This window comes from Homo sapiens, chromosome 12 (genome assembly GCF_000001405.40).
Source record: "Homo sapiens chromosome 12, GRCh38.p14 Primary Assembly".
Taxonomy (NCBI): Eukaryota; Metazoa; Chordata; class Mammalia; order Primates; family Hominidae; genus Homo; species Homo sapiens.
Genome location: NC_000012.12, coordinates 55,954,072 through 55,973,465, shown reverse-complemented (window position 1 = coordinate 55,973,465; position 19,394 = coordinate 55,954,072). Strand labels below are relative to the sequence as shown.

The 19,394-nt window shown below is 48.7% G+C and overlaps 2 protein-coding genes across 10 annotated transcripts, besides 3 other annotated features; one reads left to right on the top strand and one right to left on the bottom strand.

The window, feature by feature from the left end:
- CDK2 (cyclin dependent kinase 2) lies at positions 677 to 6,636 on the bottom strand. Of its 4 annotated transcripts, XM_011537732.2 has the most exons (8): positions 6,342 to 6,636; positions 5,532 to 5,609; positions 5,297 to 5,417; positions 4,518 to 4,688; positions 3,890 to 3,991; positions 2,725 to 2,868; positions 2,219 to 2,422; positions 677 to 1,945 (listed from the first exon to the last, which is right to left on the bottom strand). In XM_011537732.2, exons 1-8 carry the CDS (start codon positions 6,455 to 6,457, stop codon positions 1,841 to 1,843), a joined length of 1,041 nt encoding a protein of 346 aa, XP_011536034.1. In that variant the 5' UTR covers positions 6,458 to 6,636; the 3' UTR covers positions 677 to 1,840. The 4 variants fall into 4 exon arrangements, with proteins under 4 accessions (XP_011536034.1, NP_001789.2, NP_439892.2 ...); NM_001798.5 differs by lacking the exon at positions 2,725 to 2,868; NM_052827.4 differs by lacking the exons at positions 2,725 to 2,868; positions 3,890 to 3,991.
- On the top strand, positions 6,757 to 19,361 carry PMEL (premelanosome protein). 6 transcript variants are annotated; one of them, NM_006928.5, is made up of 12 exons: positions 6,757 to 6,788; positions 7,404 to 7,530; positions 11,734 to 11,844; positions 12,003 to 12,149; positions 14,859 to 14,993; positions 15,382 to 15,543; positions 15,795 to 16,517; positions 17,247 to 17,363; positions 17,603 to 17,687; positions 17,797 to 18,002; positions 18,105 to 18,192; positions 19,117 to 19,361. In NM_006928.5, the coding sequence occupies exons 2-12, from the start codon at positions 7,455 to 7,457 to the stop codon at positions 19,250 to 19,252; spliced, it is 1,986 nt and encodes a 661-aa protein (NP_008859.1). In that variant the 5' UTR covers positions 6,757 to 6,788; positions 7,404 to 7,454; the 3' UTR covers positions 19,253 to 19,361. The 6 variants fall into 6 exon arrangements, with proteins under 6 accessions (NP_008859.1, NP_001307051.1, NP_001307050.1 ...); NM_001320122.1 differs by lacking the exon at positions 6,757 to 6,788 and having other exon boundaries at positions 15,795 to 16,280; positions 16,407 to 16,517; NM_001320121.1 differs by lacking the exon at positions 6,757 to 6,788 and having other exon boundaries at positions 15,795 to 16,280; positions 16,407 to 16,517; positions 18,084 to 18,192.
- Positions 6,866 to 6,945: an enhancer, noted in NCBI's record as "active region_6464". NCBI's record gives its function as "activates an Ori minimal core promoter by ATAC-STARR-seq in GM12878 lymphoblastoid cells {active_cell/tissue: GM12878}" and the evidence as "EXISTENCE:reporter gene assay evidence [ECO:0000049][PMID:35858748]".
- Positions 12,435 to 12,935: an enhancer, noted in NCBI's record as "H3K4me1 hESC enhancer chr12:56354315-56354815 (GRCh37/hg19 assembly coordinates)". NCBI's record gives its function as "activates a minimal SCP1, AML or CMV promoter by ChIP-STARR-seq in naive H9 embryonic stem cells {active_cell/tissue: H9 hESC(naive)}" and the evidence as "EXISTENCE:reporter gene assay evidence [ECO:0000049][PMID:30033119]".
- Positions 16,060 to 16,561: an enhancer, noted in NCBI's record as "H3K4me1 hESC enhancer chr12:56350689-56351190 (GRCh37/hg19 assembly coordinates)". NCBI's record gives its function as "activates a minimal SCP1, AML or CMV promoter by ChIP-STARR-seq in primed H9 embryonic stem cells {active_cell/tissue: H9 hESC(primed)}" and the evidence as "EXISTENCE:reporter gene assay evidence [ECO:0000049][PMID:30033119]".

Genomic DNA, 19,394 nt, shown 5'->3' with positions numbered 1-19,394 from the left:
AGTGAGGCTTCAGTGGACAGGCGTATTTGGGGTGGCCGCGGGCGGTCTGAGATGTTTTTTGGTGGAATGAGACAATGGCAACTACAAGAAGTGGTAGCTTGGAGACGCTTTTTCAGAATCGTATGTAAATGTAAATAAAAGAATCTTTGGAAAACTTTTCTGTCTGTGATATGAAACAGAAAGGAAAAACGGCGGGCTTACTGGGAAATGCAGTGTCGAAAGGCAAATTCCCCGGGAGCCCTCTTCCTGCCGCTATGTATGTGCATGGGTGTGTGTATGTATGGGGTGTGTGTGCATATATGGTGTGTATGTGGTGTGTGTGTATTTGGTATATGTATACGTGGTGTGTGTGGTATATGTGTGTATATGATGTGTGTGTGGTGTGTGTATGTGATGTGTGTGTGGTGTGGTGTGTGTGTGGTATGTTGGCTGGGGGAAAGGAGGTTTGCTGGTGTGTGGAGAAAGTGAAGTAGGAAGTATATAGGCTTCAGTTTCCCCAGCCATAAATAGGGATGATAATAACCACTTTGTTCACCGTCAGCACTAGCCAAAATGGGGTGGGGTGGGCAGCCATGCACAGAGAGATTAGGAAAAGGGGTCTGAAATCAATGATCACATACACACATTCATATTCTGTCTCCCACCATTCTTTCAGTAAATAAGAGGAGGAAAGAGATGAACTATAAAACTAGGCACATTTTTTTAATGAGCTACAAACTAAATTACAAATAACGTTAATAGCAAGAGCACTCAAGGACAAGGGTGACAGAGACAAATCATAAAAAAAAAATGCTTTTTTTTTTTAGCACTGTCATTACAAAACCCCAAGGTGCACATGGCAACAAATCCACCCACTATGACCAAAAAAAAAAAAAAAAAGCCAACTCTACTATTGGATATAACCTGAAATATAAATATAATTGTTCATCCTTCTTTTAAAGAAATATTTTTACCCATGCCCTCACTCAATCACAGCCCTGAAAAAGTGTCAGCATTCTCAAAATGATGCCTAAACCCTAACTTCTAACTCCTATGGGGTAGGAGGTGGACGTCAGAGGAAAATGGGATCAGGGATCCTTGGCAACTGAACAACTAAGAATACTAAAAGGAAGAGAAAAATTCAAACATCTCTCACCTGCCTCATAAGGCCATGGTGAAGCAATAGATTGGAATGAAGCACAATCCCTGTCTCAGGGCCTCCCAGATTCCTCATGCCTGTAGAAGGGACAAACAAGGGGACTGGGGCCAATCATTTTTCTGCAGCCCCACCCGGGCTGAGTCTTCAGTCTCCCAGCCTATTAGGTGAGGCAAAACACTAACTAGGGTATAAACTGATTGGATCTATTTTTTCAACCGAATTCTTTAAAATAGACTCCTCCCAGTGGTTTTGTTTTACTTGGTTCTCAAAAGCACCAACTTAGCCCCCGCTATCATTTGGCCTTTATAAACATTGTGGCAGCAGGAGGCTTGGGATCCTGGTCATCCCAAACACTGGAAATAATAATTATGGGGCATTCAGAGATTGGTACGGCAAATCTAACGTGTAGGAAGGCTTTTTTAAAATTATTTTTATACCAACCCTCTTCAGCAATAACTAAGAGAAGGGGGAAAGGGTGGTGGAGGCTAACTTAAGTGCATCTAATACTGAAACTTCCTTTCATTTTCACTGGTTCCCCCCTTTCACCCCTGTATTCCCAGAGTTGGCTGGCCAAGACTAGAAGGTGAGTGTTTAAGGCAAGTTCAGAGGGCCCACCTGAGTCCAAATAGCCCAAGGCCAAGCCTGGTCAAGCCCACACTGGAGGAGAGGGTGAGATTAGGGCTGGGGGCTTCAAGAAGGCTATCAGAGTCGAAGATGGGGTACTGGCTTGGTCACATCCTGGAAGAAAGGGTGAGCCAGGGCTGCCTTGGCCGAAATCCGCTTGTTAGGGTCGTAGTGCAGCATTTGCTAGAGGGAGAGATGCATGTTGACTTCAATGATGTGATAGTGGACTAAATGGGCAGCAGGTGTTCCCAGAAATCAGGAAACCAGAACTCCTTCTACCCAAGGCAGAATTCTCACTTCCATCCTCCCATAGCTGAATCAGTGTGCCAACAGGGAGAGCAGGAACCAGGGAAATGAAACACTGAGGCCCAGATTTCAGGGTCTCATCCTTCCTTCATCCTGGAAAAGCCCTTCCCTGGGAGAAATGAATGAGGGAAAACAGGTGCCCACTCTCACCGATAACAAGCTCCGTCCATCTTCATCCAGGGGAGGTACAACTTTACTAAAATCTTGCCGGGCCCACTTGGGGAAACTTGGCTTGTAATCAGGCATAGAAGTAACTCCTGGCCACACCACCTCATCTGGGGTCCCCAGAGTCCGAAAGATCCGGAAGAGCTGGTCAATCTCAGAATCTCCAGGGAATAGGGCCCGGCGAGTCACCTGAAAATGGGGAAAGAGGAAATACCAAGACCCACGTTGACGTCAGTCAAAACTCTCCTCTATACAAAGGAGTTCCCACAGACAGTAAAAGGTCAGCAGGGCCCCATGACTCCCTCCCCAGGGCCTTTCATGGGGTCAGTCACACAGAACCTGAGACAATGAAGTTCCTTCATCTGTCTCCTCGCCCCCTCCTTCCTTCCCCCAACCATGGCTTTGCAGATCCCCAAGGCTGGGTGGGTCTGGGAGGGGGTGAATGTCTGGGGTGCCACTGACATGTAGCAAAGGTATCCCAAGCCACTCACGGGGTAGGGGGTAGACACTGCGGTCATCCCCCAACCTTGTGATGCAGCCACTTCTAGATACGAGCACAGCGGGCAGAGACTCTGTCTTCCATTTCTTCTGTGTTCCCCACAGCACCTAGCATGGTGCTGGGTACCCACTAGGTGCTTAACAAATATTTTTTGATGAATTGAGAGAGGAATACGGACAATTGTAAGGTAATGCACTGGGGGGATAAATGCACATTACATATGTATAGGCTAATGGTCTTTAAGCTCTTGGTTACAACCAAGATAAAAGACAATAAAACATATTGCTGATTTGAAGACAGCCTACTGCACCACTGTACTGTTATATTAAAGGAGATGGGAGCTTCTACATAAAGCCAGGCTTCAAGGATCCTTCAGTCTGAAAAGCCAGAGGTTGAAGGGGAACATGATCTAAATCTTTTTTTTTTTTTTTTTTTTTTTTTTTTTGAGATGGAATCTCATTCTGTCGCCCAGGCTGGAGTGCAGTGGTGCAATCTTGGTCACTGCAACCTCCATCTCCCGGGTTCAACCGATTCTCCTGCCTTGGCCTCCCAAGTAGCTGGGATTACAGGTGTGTAATCCCAAGTAGCCACACCTGGCTAATTTTTGTATTTTTAGTAGAGACAGGGTTTTAACATGTTGGCCAGGCTGGTCTCAAACTCCTGACCTCAGGTGATCCACCTACCTCAGCCTCCCAAAGTGCTGGTATTATAGGTGTGAGCCACTGCACCCTGCCTAAATCTGCAGTTTAAATGAAAGGTGTGGGTAAAGTGACCACAGTTGTCTTCACTACATTGCTGGCACCATACAACAAGGTCTACAAGCCTTGAAATGAAGGCCTGAAATAAAAGAGGCACTAAATGGAATCATTCTCCCAAATATATGCAGACTACAGCTAAAACAGCTGCAGAAATGCTTTAACTTATTTCAGGGATAAGAGATGTATACCAGGTACTAAGGCTGTTTGAGGATATCCTAACACTGTGGTTGATATCAGGGCAACAGTTGCATCCTTTCCCACCATTCCCCTTGGTGCTACTTTAGAGAGAGAACCCTGTGATAGAAGGGCCATAGGTCTGGGCCAAGAAGCAGTTCTGTTGTTCTTGGATGTGGGGAGGAGAGGGAGGGGGCTGGGTGGAACTTGGGCAAGCCTCCATACCATCTCAGCAAAGATGCAGCCCAGGCTCCAGATGTCCACAGCTGTGGAATAATATTTGCAGCCCAGGAGGATTTCAGGAGCTCGGTACCACAGGGTCACCACCTGAGGGACGGGAATAGGGAGGGGCGGGGTGGTTTATAGGGTATGGAAATTCCCGCATCTCAGTTCCTCAACACTACTCTGCTTACTCTTGGCCTCTTAACAAGCAGTTTCCTTCCCTCCATCATCTTTCCCCTCCCACTGATTTCCAGTCCATAGTTCTGGACTGAACCCCTAATTTGAGATCTTCCTGGAAAAACTTGAGACAAATTGGTCATAATTTTATTTCTAAATTTTTTCTTTTTGTAGATTTGTAGAGATGGGGTCTCGCTATGTTGCCCATGATGGTCTCGAACTCCTGGGCTCAAGTGATCCTCCCACCTCAGCCTCCCAAAGTATTGGTATTACAGGTGTGGGCCCAGTTAGCAACACAGTATGAATTCCATGCATACCCTAAGACTCTTTAGGATGTCAAGAGATTATTTCTACCTAGTAAGAAACTGTTAGCCAGATATTTTTAGTAACTTTGTGAATACCCTAGTTAACACCTCTTGGGAAGCTCAGAGAAAAAAGACATAAAGGGACTCACCTCATGGGTGTAAGTACGAACAGGGACTCCAAAAGCTCTGGCTAGTCCAAAGTCTGCTAGCTTGATGGCCCCCTCTGTGTTAATAAGCAGATTCTGAGGTTTAAGGTCTCGGTGGAGGACCCGATGAGAATGGCAGAAAGCTAGGCCCTGGAGCAGCTGGAACAGATAGCTCTGACAAAGGAGAAAGAGAGGACTGTGTTTCTCCATTACAGTGAGCAGACTGGGTTTGCTCTGTGCCCCTAAAACTCTACTAAAGCCTTTATTATGTTGGATTATAGTTACATATTTACAAGCTATTTCTCCCAATGGACTGTCAGCCCAGAGAGGATAAGGACCAAGTCTTACTCAATTTTCCATCCCTTTTCTACATCCTGTGCATTGAAAAAATGTTTGTTAATAGATTGAAAGTAGCTCTGGGAGTGAAGAATCCAGCCCTAAAATAGACAATAGGGACTCACTAGCTAGGTCTTCCACCAAATGGAAGGGCTTTTTGGAGGAATTTACCAAGTGCTCTCAAATCCCGTTTATCTGAGTTTCATCTGACCTCCCACCTGAGTTGCTAGGTTGACTCACTAGAGTTTCAACTTTGATTGTTCAGTCCAACCCTAGGGTTAATGAATATAATGAGCAGGGAAGGAGACACAAAAAGAAGGGGAGTGTGTGTGTATAGGAGATGAGGGCTCAGAAGGAGGCCAAAATCATAAAATATCACCCTGAATTGCCTGCCACCAGTCCCCCAAGACATGCCCATGATGAGAGGAGCTGATGAGAAGCATTACCTTGATGAGGGGAAGAGGAATGCCAGTGAGAGCAGAGGCATCCATGAATTTCTTGAGATCTTGGTGCAGAAATTCAAAAACCAGGTAGAGTTTATTTTCTGTGTGAATGACATCCAGCAGCCTAGAGAAGGAAAGTTTGAGGAAATGGAGGTGTGTGAGAGAGAGAAATGCCCACACTGTACAGACAGAACTTATCCTCCTTTCCAGCTGGATCACCTCTCAGACGCATACTTACTTGACAATATTAGGATGGTTAAGCTCCTTAAGCAGAGAGATCTCTCGGATGGCAGTACTGGGCACACCCTCAGTCTCACTTGGAGAGGTTGGGAAAGCAGAGATGGGAATATGGTTACAAATATTCCTTTCCCCCCCACCTAGTCATTTCTTTCCCCCAAGGAGACACCACCCAGCACCCCCTAGGAAAGTGAGAGAAGAGAAAGGGTGATGGTAAGAGCTAATTCTTGGGTAGTCAGGGTGTGGTTTTTGGATATATTAAGGCCATTATCTCCTCTTTTCCCAGGGGTAGGTAAGTAAAGCCGCCTGGTGAAGGTGAAGCAGGGAGACTGTAATGGAGGGGAAAAAATGCAGGAGTAGCCCCCAGCCTCCCCAGAGGGGCCAGTGAGGTTCAACTGCCATTCTTTGGAAAGAGGAGAGAATTCTAAGGTGAGGGTGGGGCAGTGAAGAGGGCTCTTCATTCAGAAAGGCGATTCTCGCCGGTTCCCACATAACTCCACTCCATGGAGAGTCTTGGACCTCATCTCAGAGACCTCCTTTCTCTCCCCGAGTCTGTAGTCGCACATTTGGGGGCACGATCCGGCTCAGTTTGGGAAGAAAGTTTTCCATGGATTCCACACCACCCTATACTCTCCCCAGGGAGTATAAGTATACTCTTCACCTTCTACTGGCCCCCAACCCACCTCTCCACTTCTAAAGAAGTCCCTCCCTGCTCTCTTCCGGTCCCTGGACGGCTACCCGCCCGTGGGGGGTTGGGGGGGACAATCAAGGAGGTCCCCAGTTAGGAGTCCCGGGTACAGAGGCCACTCACGTGTCCAGGCGGATTTTCTTAAGCGCCACCACCTCTCCCGTCAACTTGTTTCTGGCTTTGTACACAACTCCGTACGTGCCCTCTCCGATCTTTTCCACCTTTTGGAAGTTCTCCATGAAGCGCCAGCGAGTCGGGTCAGCCCGGCCCTGGAGCGGGGGCCTGGGAACCCTGCAGAAGGCGGACCCTGGCTCTCGGGGGCCGAGGAGGGGGAAACAGGGCCCAGTACCGTGGCCCCGGGTCGGGATGGAACGCAGTATACCTCTCGCTCTTGTCAATTTGGCCAACTTGAAACAATGTTGCCGCCTCCCACCGAGTTCCCGACCGCCACCAGAGGCCCCGCCCCTGCTTCCCGCGTTTCCCTGGCTCCGCCCCCAGGCCTTTCTATTGGTCAACGTCAGAGCCGGGGGGCGAGCCCAGCGCTCCTCCCCGCAAATGATCCCGCCCCAGGCAAGTTTGGTTCTTGGGGGCTAGACAAGTTTCTTCCCCGGTGGGGCGGCTGAACACTCTTCCCAAGTACCTGCTTTGGGTCCAAGTTTCCTACCTATGTCTCTAGTCTGTAGGGATTTCTTGATTTCTAACTCACTATTTTCACCAATCCTGGGGAAAATATGTATCGACCTAAGGTTAAATTCCACCTGGCCCAGGAGCCTCCTTTGGAAACCAGGAAGCCGGGAATCTCGTTGCAAAGGAATCCTGGGCCTCAGAGGAGTCGTTGCCTCTGCCTCATAGCATACCCCGACACTGTCTCTGTTTTGGGATGCAGGGTTCTGTTTCTGTCTTTTTGAGAAGTTCCTGGTTTAATTCACTCTCCCATGATAAACTGTTGTGTCTGGTATGTGTTACGCAGCTGCCTTTCAGTTAGCTCTTGCCCGGGAGTGCATCAAGATGAGAGTGACCCAGTGAAACCAGAAACTGTCATTGAGTAGCAGGATGGGAAAGCAATGTCTAGGGACCAGGATCCCTTTGTCAGTTTTTCCTTTTTCCTCTCCTCCGGCCCCTCCCAGGCCTTCTCTGAGGGAGAAGAGGAAGGGCTATGCAAATGAGCACCCTTTTCTTATATAGGGGCCTATCCCAGTCCCCCCAGTGCCTTTGGTTGCTGGAGGGAAGAACACAATGGATCTGGTGCTAAAAAGATGCCTTCTTCATTTGGCTGTGATAGGTGCTTTGCTGGCTGTGGGGGCTACAAAAGGTATGTGTGGATATGTGGACATGAGCAGGTGTGAACTTGGGGATGAATTCCCCCTGCTCTGGTTTCTGTCCTCCTAATGGGAGATAGCGGCAATATTTCAGGCGTCTCCCACTCATTTGATTTAGTGAGGATGTGGGCACCTGGGCTCCCTCCCTACATGGAGATTTGGGATTTTGCCTGAAAATAATCTCATATGCTTGGAGGGGCAGAAGGATAGAAGGTCTCTGTGGCACTGATTCTGAGGCTTCCTTGGCAGTGAGCTGGAGCACGGGCTCCAAAGGGGTGAAATGTGCAGGAGACTCTTTTAGGAAACGTCTCTTGGGGTAGGAGATTTAAAGTGGGGAGTCAGAGAATGTGGTATTGGGTAAGAACACTAAGGAGATACAATCCTCTCCTCTTGGGATGGGTACGGGTGAACACAGCCCAGACCTTTTGTTCTGGGGCTGGAGAGATAGGCAGAGGGGTCTCAGCTGAGCATCACATGAAAGGGCTCTGGGGGATTGGGCCTCGTGACAGGAGCAAGGGGCGGGGGTGGGGTGGTGAGAGGGTCTGGAATGTCCCGTGCTGCTCTGAGGAGAGTTGGAAGTGGAGAAAGAATGGGGTATCTTATGACTTCTCTTGTTCTAGTGGTGGGATGCTCAATAGATGATTCCAGATCCTCCCCCAGCAGAATCAACTAGGGTTACAGCACACATTAGAAAGGGAATGAGGCCGGGCGCCGTGGCTCACGCCTGTAATCCCAGCACTTTGGGAGGCTGAAGCAGGTGGATCACGAGGTCAGGAGTTCGAGACCAGCCTGGCCAATATGGTGAAACCCCCGTCTCTACTAAAAGTACAAAAATTAGCTGGGCATGGTGGCACATGCCTGTAGTCCCAGCTACTCAGAAGGCTGAGGCTGGAGAATCACTTGAACCCAGAAGGCAGAGGTTGCAGTGAGCCAAGATCACACCAATGCACTCCAGCCTGGGTGACAGAGCGAGTCTCCGTCTCAAAAAAAAAAAAAAAAAGAAAGGGGATGAGGCCCGGCACAGTAACTCATGCCTGTAATCCTAGCACTTTGAGAGGCTGAGACGGGTGGATCACTTGAGGTCAGACCAGCCTGGCCAATATGGTGAAACTCCATCTCTACTAAAAATACAAAAATTAGCTGGGCATGGTGGTACGCACCTGTAATCCCAACTACTTGGGAGGCCGAGGCATGAGAATCGCTTGAACCTGGGAGGCAGAGGTTGCAGTGAGCCGAGATCACACCATTGCATTCCAGCCTGGGCAACAGCAAGACTCTGTCTCAAAAAAATAAAAAAAGAAAAGAAAAGAAAAGAGATAAGGAGGCCGGGTGTAGTGGCTCACACCTGTAATCCCAGCACTTTGGGAGGCCGTGGTCATAGGATTGCTTGAGCCCAGGAGTTCAAGACCAGCCTGAGCAACATAGTGAGACCTTGTCTCTACGAAACGTAAAAAAATTAGCCAGGCCTAGGCCAGGCTTGGTGGCTCACGCCTGTAATCCCAGCACTTTGCGAGACCAAGGCAGGTGGATCAGCTGAAGTTGGGAGTTTGAGACCAGCCTGACCAACATAGAGAAACCCAGTCTCTACTAAAAATACAAAATTAGCTGGGCGTGGTGGTGCATGCCTGTAATCCCAGCCACTCAGGAGGCTGAGGCAGGAGAATCGCTTGAACCCGGGAGGCGGAGGTTGTAGTAAGCTGAGATCGTGCCATTGTACTCCAGCCTTCCAGCCTGGGCAACAAGAGCGAAACTCTGTCTCAAAAAAAAAAAAAAAAAAAATTAGCCAGGCTTGGTGGTGAGCACCTGTGGTCCTAGCCACTTGGGAGGCTAATGAGGAAGATGGCTTCAGCCTAGGAGTTTGAGGCTGCAGTGAGTGATGAACGTGCCACTGCACGCAGGGTGAGAGAGCAAAACCCTGTATCAAAAGGAAAGGAAAGGGGAAAGGGAAAGGAAAGGGAAGGAAGTTTCTGCAGGAAAGGGAAAAATGGGGTGAGGGTAGTTTTTGCTGTGCTGAACTATATACAGAAAGGAGAGGAGAGGGGAGGGAAGGGGAGGGGAGAGAGGTTTCTGCAGGAAAGGGAAAAATGGGGTGAGGGTAGTTTCTGCTGTGCTGAAATACATACATTATATCCCAGCCCTGCTTTCTCCCTAGATGTTTAGTGTCACAGATTTCTAGGAAGTTCTCCTTGATGTGACTTTCCTCGCTGTGCTGCAGTTTCAAGTCTTTTTCTTTTACTATATTCCTTAATGTATCCTGGAAAGAGTCTGTTCACACCCACCCACCTAAGGCTCTTAACAAAAAGACTGTACTTATATTTTGGATCCTGATTTTAAAAATCATAAGACATTTTTCCAGATATTCATGAAATTTTATATGGACTGAGTTTGATAATTTTGTCTAGCATGAAATGACATTGTGCTTATGCAAGAAAATACTCATACATTTTAAATTTGTAGGGTTAAAATAACACGATGTCTGGGATTTGCTTTTACATACTTTAGCCAAAACAAAAACAAAAACAACAACTAGTAAGGATAAACAAAGCAAATGTGGCAAGGTGTTGATAGTTGTTGGACCTGGGTGGGGCAGATGGAGGTCCAGCATATCCTTTTCTTCTCAGACCTCTCTTGGTCAGTTACAATAATTTTGTCTTCCCTGTCCCCATCCCCAATCTCTGCCAGCCTCTAATCCATCCTCCTCACTGCTTGCCATCGTGATCTTTCTAAAACACAAATTTGATCATGTTCAAAAGTAAATTTTTTTTTTTTTTTGAGACGGAGTCTTGCTCTGTAGCCCAGGCTGGAGTGCAGTGGTGTGATCTCGGCTCACTGCCACCTCCGCCTCCTGGGTTCAAGCAATTCTCCTGCCTCAGCCCCCTGAGTAGCTGGAACTACAGGTGCCCACTACCACGCCCGGCTAATTTTTGTATTTTTAGTAGAGACAGGGTTTCACTTGGCCAGGCTGGTCTCGAACTCCTGACCTTGTGATCCACCTGCCTCGGCCTCTCAAAGTGCTGGGATTACAGATGTGAGCCACCATGCCTGGCTAAAAGTAAATTTTATGGTATGTGAATTATGTCTTGATTTAAAACAAAACAGGCGAGGCGCAGTGGCTCACGCCTATAATCCCAGCACTTTGGGAGGCCGAAGCGGTTGGATCACTTGAGGTCAGGAGTTTGAGACAAACCTGGCCAACATGGAGAAACCATGAAACATGGCGAAACTAAAAATACAAAAATTAGTTGGGTGTGGTGGTGGGTGCCTGTAGTCCCAGCTACTTGGGAGGCTGAGGAACGAGAATTGCTTGAATCCAGGAAGCGGAGGCTATAGTGAGCCAAGATCACGCCACTGCATTCCAGCCTAGGGGGCAGAGCGAGACTCCATCTCAAAAAAAAAAAAAAAAAAAAAAAAAGAGTAATAATAAATAAATAAACAAATAAATAAGGGGTTTTTTGTGTTTTTTTTTTTTTTTTTTTTTTTGAGATGGAGTCTTACTCTATCGCCAGCTGGAGTACACTGGTGCAATCTCAGAATCTCAGCTCACTGCAACCTCTGCCTCCCGGGTTCAAGCAATTCTCCTGCCTCAGCCTCCCAAGTAGCTGGAACTACAGGTGCGCACCACCATGCCCGGCTAATTTTGTATTTTTAGTAGAGACAGGGTTTCCCCATGTTGGCCAGGATGGTCTCTATCTCTTGACCTCATGATCCACCCGCCTCAGCCTCCCAAAGTACTGGGATTACAGGTGTGAGCCACCACACCCGGCCAAATAAATGAGTTTTAAAAATGCACTTCAGCCGGGCGCAGTGGCTCACGCCTGTAATCCCAGCACTTTGGGAGGCCAAAGCAGGCAGATCACCTAAGGTCGGGAGTTCGAGACCAGACCAACCAACATGGAGAAACCCCATCTCTACTAAAAATACAAAATTAGCCTGGCATGGTGGCACATGCCTGTAATCCCAGCTACTCAGGAGGCTGAGGCAGGAGAATCGCTTGAACCCAGGAGACAGAGGTTGCAATGAGCCGAGATCATGCCATTGCACTCCAGCCTGGGCAACAAGAGCGAAACTCCATCTCAAAAAAAAAAAAAAAAAAATGCACTTCGAATGTGAGAATGAATGGAGTGACATGAATAGAGTGTTATCCCTGAGAAGGAACTGAAAGGATCCTAGGGCCCTTCATGGCACATTCCTTTTAGTACCCAGAAACCAGGACTGGCTTGGTGTCTCAAGGCAACTCAGAACCAAAGCCTGGAACAGGCAGCTGTATCCAGAGTGGACAGAAGCCCAGAGACTTGACTGCTGGAGAGGTAGGAACTTGGAAGTTCCAGGGGAGGGCATGGTGGGAGTGGGATGAGGAAAAAAGCAAGCTGAACTGCATCGAGTGTAGCTTGGGAAGAAAAGGAGGGGAAACGTATACAGGGAGGGGAAGCCCAGGAGTCCCAGCTAATGTAGCTTTCCTTCCCAGGTGGTCAAGTGTCCCTCAAGGTCAGTAATGATGGGCCTACACTGATTGGTGCAAATGCCTCCTTCTCTATTGCCTTGAACTTCCCTGGAAGCCAAAAGGTATTGCCAGATGGGCAGGTTATCTGGGTCAACAATACCATCATCAATGGTGAGTACTTCTCTATTCTAGGTCCTTATTCCTAGGGCTCAGGTTCCCTGGTATGCCCAGTGAGCTCAGGGAATGCCCCTTCCTTCTCTACTTTTTTTTTTTTTTCTTTTTTGAGACGGAGTCTCGCTCTGTCGCCCAGGCTGGAGTGCAGTGGCGCAATCTCGGCTCACTGCAAGCTCTGCCTCCCGGGTTCACGCCATTCTCCTGCCTCAGCCTCCCGAGTAGCTGGGACTACAGGCGCCTGCCACCATGACCGGCTAATTTTTTTTGTATTTTTAGTAGAGACAGGGTTTCACCGTGTTAGCCAGTATAGTCTCCATCTCCTGACCTTGTGATCCGCCCGCCTCGGCCTCCCAAAGTTCTGGGATTACAGGCGTGAGCCATCGCACCCGGCCTCCTCCTTTAATTTTTAAAACAAGTTATATGTGTAATACATACTCATTGTAGTTAAAATTTAAAAACACAGAGAAGGCCGGGCGCGGTGGCTCACGCCTGTAATCGCAGCACTTCGGGAGGCCGAGGCGGGCGGATCACGAGGTCAGGAGATCCAGACCATCCTGGCTAACACGGTGAAACCCTGTCTCTACTAAAAAAAAAATACAAAAAATTAGCCGGGCGTGGTGGCAGGCGCATGTAGTCCCAGCTACTTGGGAGGCTGAGACAGGAGAATGGCGTGAACCCAGGAGGTGGAGCTTGCAGTGAACCGAGATCATGCCACTGCACTCCAGCCTGGGCGACAGAGCGAGACTCCATTTCAAAAAAAAAAAAAAAAAAAAAAACAGAAAGCAAAAAGAAAAGAAAATTACAGTTGTAGTCCCTGCTACTTAGCAGTCTCAGGTGGGAGGATCATGAGCCTGGGAGGTCGAGACTGCATGATCACGCCACTGTACTTCAGCCTGGGTGACAGAGTGAGACCCTGTCTCAAAAAGAAAAAAGAAAATTACAGTCCCTAAAGTGGAGGACAGCAGAATTCAGGGGACCTAGAAGTTGAACAGACCTATATTTAAACTTGTCCTTGATATGTGACCTTGGGCAAGTTACTTGTTTTGTGTTTCCATTTCTTTTTTTTTCTTTTCTTTTCTTTTCTTTTCTTTTTTTTTTTTTTTGAGACAGAGTCTGGCTGTGTCGCTCAGGCTGGAGTGCAGTGGCAGGATCTCAGCTCACTGCAACCTCTGCCTCCTGGGTTCAAGTGATCCTTCCGCCTCAGCCTCCTGAGTAGCTGGGAGTAGCCTCCCGAGTAGCTGATACAGGCGCATGTCACCATGCCCGGCTAATTCTTTTGTATTTTTAGTAGAGACGGGGTTTCACCATGTTATCCAGGATGACTCAAACTCCTGAGATCAAGTGATCTGCCCACCTCACTGTGTTTCCATTTCCGAAGATAAAAGGATTGTTGTAAGGATTAGAATGTGATAATATGTGTAAAGTACTTAATGTAGTGTCTGCTCTAGCCTACAGTAAAGGCTAAATAAATGCTATCTAGTGCTGTTATTTATTTATGTATTTATTTTTGAGACAGAGTCTCGCTGTGTCGCTCAGGCTGGAGTGCAGTGGTGCGATCTTGGCTCACTGCAGCCTCCACCTCCCAGGTTCCAGCGATTCTCCTGCCTCAGCCTCCTGGGTAGCTGGGATTATAGGCTTCCGCCAGCACGCCTGGCTAATTTTTGTATTTTTAGTAGAGACAGGGTTTTACCATGTTGGCCAGGCTGGTCTTGAACTCCTGACCTCAGGTGATTTAACCGCTTCAGACTCCCAAAGTGCTAGGATTACAGGTGTGAGCCACTGCGCCTGGCCCCCTAGTGCTGTTATTTTTATTCCACTAGCTAGAGCAAATCACTCTAAATATTTTGATATGTGGCTATATATATATACATATATCTTCTTTTTCTTTTATTTTTCTTATTTTATTTATTTATTTATTTATTTATTTTAAAGTCGGGGTCCTTCTCTCTCTCCCAGGCTGGAGTACAGTGGTGTGATCATAGCTAATTGCAGCCTCAACCTCCTGGGCTCAAGTGATCCTCCTTCCTCAGCCCCTGGAGTAGCTGGAACTACAGGTGCATACCACCACACCTGGCTAATTTTTTTTAAATGTATTTTGTAGAGACAGGGTCTTGCTATGTTGATCAGGCTGGTCTTGAATTCCATGCCTCAAGCAGTCCTCCCACCTCAGCTTCCCAAAGTGCTGGGTTTACAGCCATGAGCCACCACACCTGGCCAATTAAATTATAGCTTCTGGCCAGGCATGGTGGTGCACGCCTGTAAACCCAGCACTTCGGGAGGCTGAGGTGGGAGGATTGCTTAAGCCCAGGAGTTCAAGACCAGTCCTGGCAATATAGCAAGACCCTGTCTCTACAAAAAAATAAAATTAGCTGGGTATGGTGGTGCATACCTGTAGTCCCAGCTACTCGGGAGGCTGAGGTGGGAGGATTGCTTGACCCTGGGAGGTTGACACTCCAGTGAGCTGTGATCACACCACTGCACTCCAGCCTGGGCATCAGACTAAGACCCTGTCTCTAAAAAAAAAATGTAGTTTCCACACCCTCAACCCCCAACTACCACCCCAAATGGTTATATCATGGAGAATGTACTTTCTAGCTAGGGAATATTCCCAGAGCCCCTCTCTGATACCCTGGGAGCAATTTTAGGGGTTTTGATATACAAAAAAGAATGCCAGGGTTTGAGAGTGACTCTGTATTTATCTTTCAGGGAGCCAGGTGTGGGGAGGACAGCCAGTGTATCCCCAGGAAACTGACGATGCCTGCATCTTCCCTGATGGTGGACCTTGCCCATCTGGCTCTTGGTCTCAGAAGAGAAGCTTTGTTTATGTCTGGAAGACCTGGGGTGAGGGACTCCCTTCTCAGCCTATCATCCACACTTGTGTTTACTTCTTTCTACCTGATCACCTTTCTTTTGGCCGCCCCTTCCACCTTAACTTCTGTGATTTTCTCTAATCTTCATTTTCCTCTTAGATCTTTTCTCTTTCTTAGCACCTAGCCCCCTTCAACTCTATCATAATTCTTTCTGGCAACTCTTCCTCAATTGTAGTCCTACCCCATGGAATGCCTCATTAGGACCCCTTCCCTGTCCCCCCATATCACAGCCTTCCAAACACCCTCAGAAGTAATCATACTTCCTGACCTCCCATCTCCAGTGCCGTTTCGAAGCCTGTCCCTCAGTCCCCTTTGACCAGTAATCTCTTCTTCCTTGCTTTTCATTCCAAAAACTTCAGGCCAATACTGGCAAGTTCTAGGGGGCCCAGTGTCTGGGCTGAGCATTGGGACAGGCAGGGCAATGCTGGGCACACACACCATGGAAGTGACTGTCTACCATCGCCGGGGATCCCGGAGCTATGTGCCTCTTGCTCATTCCAGCTCAGCCTTCACCATTACTGGTAAGGGTTTAGGAAGGGGCAAGGCCAGTTGTAGGGCAAGAGAAGGCAGGGAGGCTTGGATGGACTGGAAAGGAGAAAGGTGAAATGCTGTGCAAACTTAAAGTAGAAGGGCCAGGAAGACCTAGGCAGAGAAATGTGAGGCTTAGTGCCAGTGAAGGGCCAGCCAGTCAGCTTGGAGTTGGAGGGTGTGGCTGTGAAAGGAGAAGCTGTGGCTCAGGCCTGGTTCTCACCTTTTCTGGCTCCAATCCCAGACCAGGTGCCTTTCTCCGTGAGCGTGTCCCAGTTGCGGGCCTTGGATGGAGGGAACAAGCACTTCCTGAGAAATCAGCCTCTGACCTTTGCCCTCCAGCTCCATGACCCCAGTGGCTATCTGGCTGAAGCTGACCTCTCCTACACCTGGGACTTTGGAGACAGTAGTGGAACCCTGATCTCTCGGGCACTTGTGGTCACTCATACTTACCTGGAGCCTGGCCCAGTCACTGCCCAGGTGGTCCTGCAGGCTGCCATTCCTCTCACCTCCTGTGGCTCCTCCCCAGTTCCAGGCACCACAGATGGGCACAGGCCAACTGCAGAGGCCCCTAACACCACAGCTGGCCAAGTGCCTACTACAGAAGTTGTGGGTACTACACCTGGTCAGGCGCCAACTGCAGAGCCCTCTGGAACCACATCTGTGCAGGTGCCAACCACTGAAGTCATAAGCACTGCACCTGTGCAGATGCCAACTGCAGAGAGCACAGGTATGACACCTGAGAAGGTGCCAGTTTCAGAGGTCATGGGTACCACACTGGCAGAGATGTCAACTCCAGAGGCTACAGGTATGACACCTGCAGAGGTATCAATTGTGGTGCTTTCTGGAACCACAGCTGCACAGGTAACAACTACAGAGTGGGTGGAGACCACAGCTAGAGAGCTACCTATCCCTGAGCCTGAAGGTCCAGATGCCAGCTCAATCATGTCTACGGAAAGTATTACAGGTAAGAGTATCAGTGCGAATGAGGTTCACGGAGGTGGGGTACCCTACTCTACTCTGTAAGTCTTACCCAGGACTCAGATGTTACCCAATCCTTTGCTTAGCACTATGGTCCCCTCAGAGTTCTCACTGGCCTGGCTATAAAGCCCTCCAGTCTCTCTTAATGACATGGAATAGGTCTGGAGTTCAGGAAACCAAGGTCTTCCCCTAGGCCATGAGGAAAGAGCTTGTTGCTTTCTCTACTGCTGAGAACGGTTGGCGAGACCAGGGAACAGACTGTGATCATTTATATAATATTTATAGCTCATTTTCTGTTCAAGCATAAATGCACGAAAATCCTTCCCAGATTCCGAGATCCTGATCCTTCCATTTCCCAACCCTGGATTCCCATCCCAAAGCAAAAAGGGAGGAATGAAACAGTGATGCTTAAATGAGTTAACACACGTTGAATGTCTAGCCTAGGACCTGACATAGTGTGGGGTGTGATAAACATTTGAGGATTTTTTAAAACTCCAATGCCACCCCTAACTGTGACTCTGGAGGAGTCATTTTCTTCTTCTGGGCCTCAGTTTCCTTATCTATAGAATAAGGTTTCCCAGGTCTTATCTGATTCCAAGCCTGTGACTCCAGAATCCAGTAACTCTGGTTCAACCTGAAAAAATGCCTGCTTGGCCTCTGCCTCCAGATGAGTCATCTGTCTCTTGATCTTGCCTCCTTGATCCTCTCCTGCCAGGTTCCCTGGGCCCCCTGCTGGATGGTACAGCCACCTTAAGGCTGGTGAAGAGACAAGTCCCCCTGGATTGTGTTCTGTATCGATATGGTTCCTTTTCCGTCACCCTGGACATTGTCCGTGAGTCTTGCCTACTTTGGTGGCTGATGGAGGCAGCTGTGTGCTACCTAGGGCTGGTCAGTGGAAGCACACCTTGGGAGGAATTACTCACCTAGATAGGAAGAATACCCAAATGCCAGAGTCCTCATTTGAAAGCACAGGGATGGGATTGGTGGAGCAGCCCTGGGGCTTTTCTGTCTCTGGGCTTTTGGGGAGGCCAGGTAGAGGAATCCTAATTTGATAAGCTTGCAACTCTGCAGAGGGTATTGAAAGTGCCGAGATCCTGCAGGCTGTGCCGTCCGGTGAGGGGGATGCATTTGAGCTGACTGTGTCCTGCCAAGGCGGGTGAGTGTCTCACTAGTGTGCTGGTAACTCTTTGGTTGACTGTTTCTCCGCTCTCTGGCATTTAGTGTCCCTTCCCAGATCCCCTTATATATGCTGACACTTCTTCCAGGCTGCCCAAGGAAGCCTGCATGGAGATCTCATCGCCAGGGTGCCAGCCCCCTGCCCAGCGGCTGTGCCAGCCTGTGCTACCCAGCCCAGCCTGCCAGCTGGTTCTGCACCAGATACTGAAGGGTGGCTCGGGGACATACTGCCTCAATGTGTCTCTGGCTGATACCAACAGCCTGGCAGTGGTCAGCACCCAGCTTATCATGCCTGGTAGGTCCTTGGACAAGAGCTAAGATGAGGAAGGGAGTGGATAGAGGGCAGCTGGCAAGCAGCAGACACTGAGTGAAGCAGTGCCTGGGATTCTTCTCACAGGTCAAGAAGCAGGCCTTGGGCAGGTTCCGCTGATCGTGGGCATCTTGCTGGTGTTGATGGCTGTGGTCCTTGCATCTCTGATATATAGGTAAGGGCCTCATCACACAGCTCAGACCCCCTTATCCCTTATTATCACTACTCACTTTTCCTCAAGGGGAGAAGAAACCACCTCTCCCTTTGAGGAAGCATGGTGTCCAGGAAAGAGCCCAGGCTTTTAAGTTAGACAGACTTGGGTTGCAGTCTTGCTTGTAGGACCTGGGGGAAGTAGCTTAACCTGTCTAAGCCTCTGAAAAGTAGGTAAACTAATACTTGCCCTGTGGGGCTGTTGTAAAGATTAGAAACAATGAGTAAAGCACCTGGCTCTGAAGCAAGAGTGCAATAATTGATATTAATGACTGTTGTTAATAATATGAAGAGTGGGGGCAGTTTGGGTAAACTGAGTTTTCTTTTTTTTTTTGAGACGGAGTTTCACCCTTTTTGCCCAGGCTGGAGTATAGTGGCATAATCTCAGCTCACTGCAACCTCCACCTTCCAGTTTCAAGCGATTCTCCTGCTTCAGCTTCCCGAGTAGCTGGGATTTCAGGCACCTGCCACCACACCTGGCTAATTTTTGTATTTTTAGTAAAGACAGGGTTTCGCCATGTTGGCCAGGCTGGTCTCAAACTCCTGACCTCGTGATCTGCCTACCTTGGCCTCCCAAAGTGCTGGGATTACAGGCATGAGCCACCGTGCCTGGCCTGGGGTGAACTGAGTTTTCTACCTGCAAGAAGGGCAGATCCCCCAGGCCTGGGGTGGCATGGTCCTCAGGCAGGAAAGCTTACGGGGTGAGGGAGGAATGGACAGAGGTTACCACAGAAATAAGAGAGGGTAAACCCTGGAGGTGAGGAGAAGGGGAGGAAGCTAGGATCAAGGCTAAGCAGACTGGGATATGGGTGTGTTCCCTTCTTTGGAGAAGCACAGACAAGCTACCTTTGTCCATTGCTAACCAGTTTACCCCTTCTCCCAATATCAGGCGCAGACTTATGAAGCAAGACTTCTCCGTACCCCAGTTGCCACATAGCAGCAGTCACTGGCTGCGTCTACCCCGCATCTTCTGCTCTTGTCCCATTGGTGAGAACAGCCCCCTCCTCAGTGGGCAGCAGGTCTGAGTACTCTCATATGATGCTGTGATTTTCCTGGAGTTGACAGAAACACCTATATTTCCCCCAGTCTTCCCTGGGAGACTACTATTAACTGAAATAAATACTCAGAGCCTGATGCTGGTTTTTCTGTTGCTTCTTGGGAGAATCT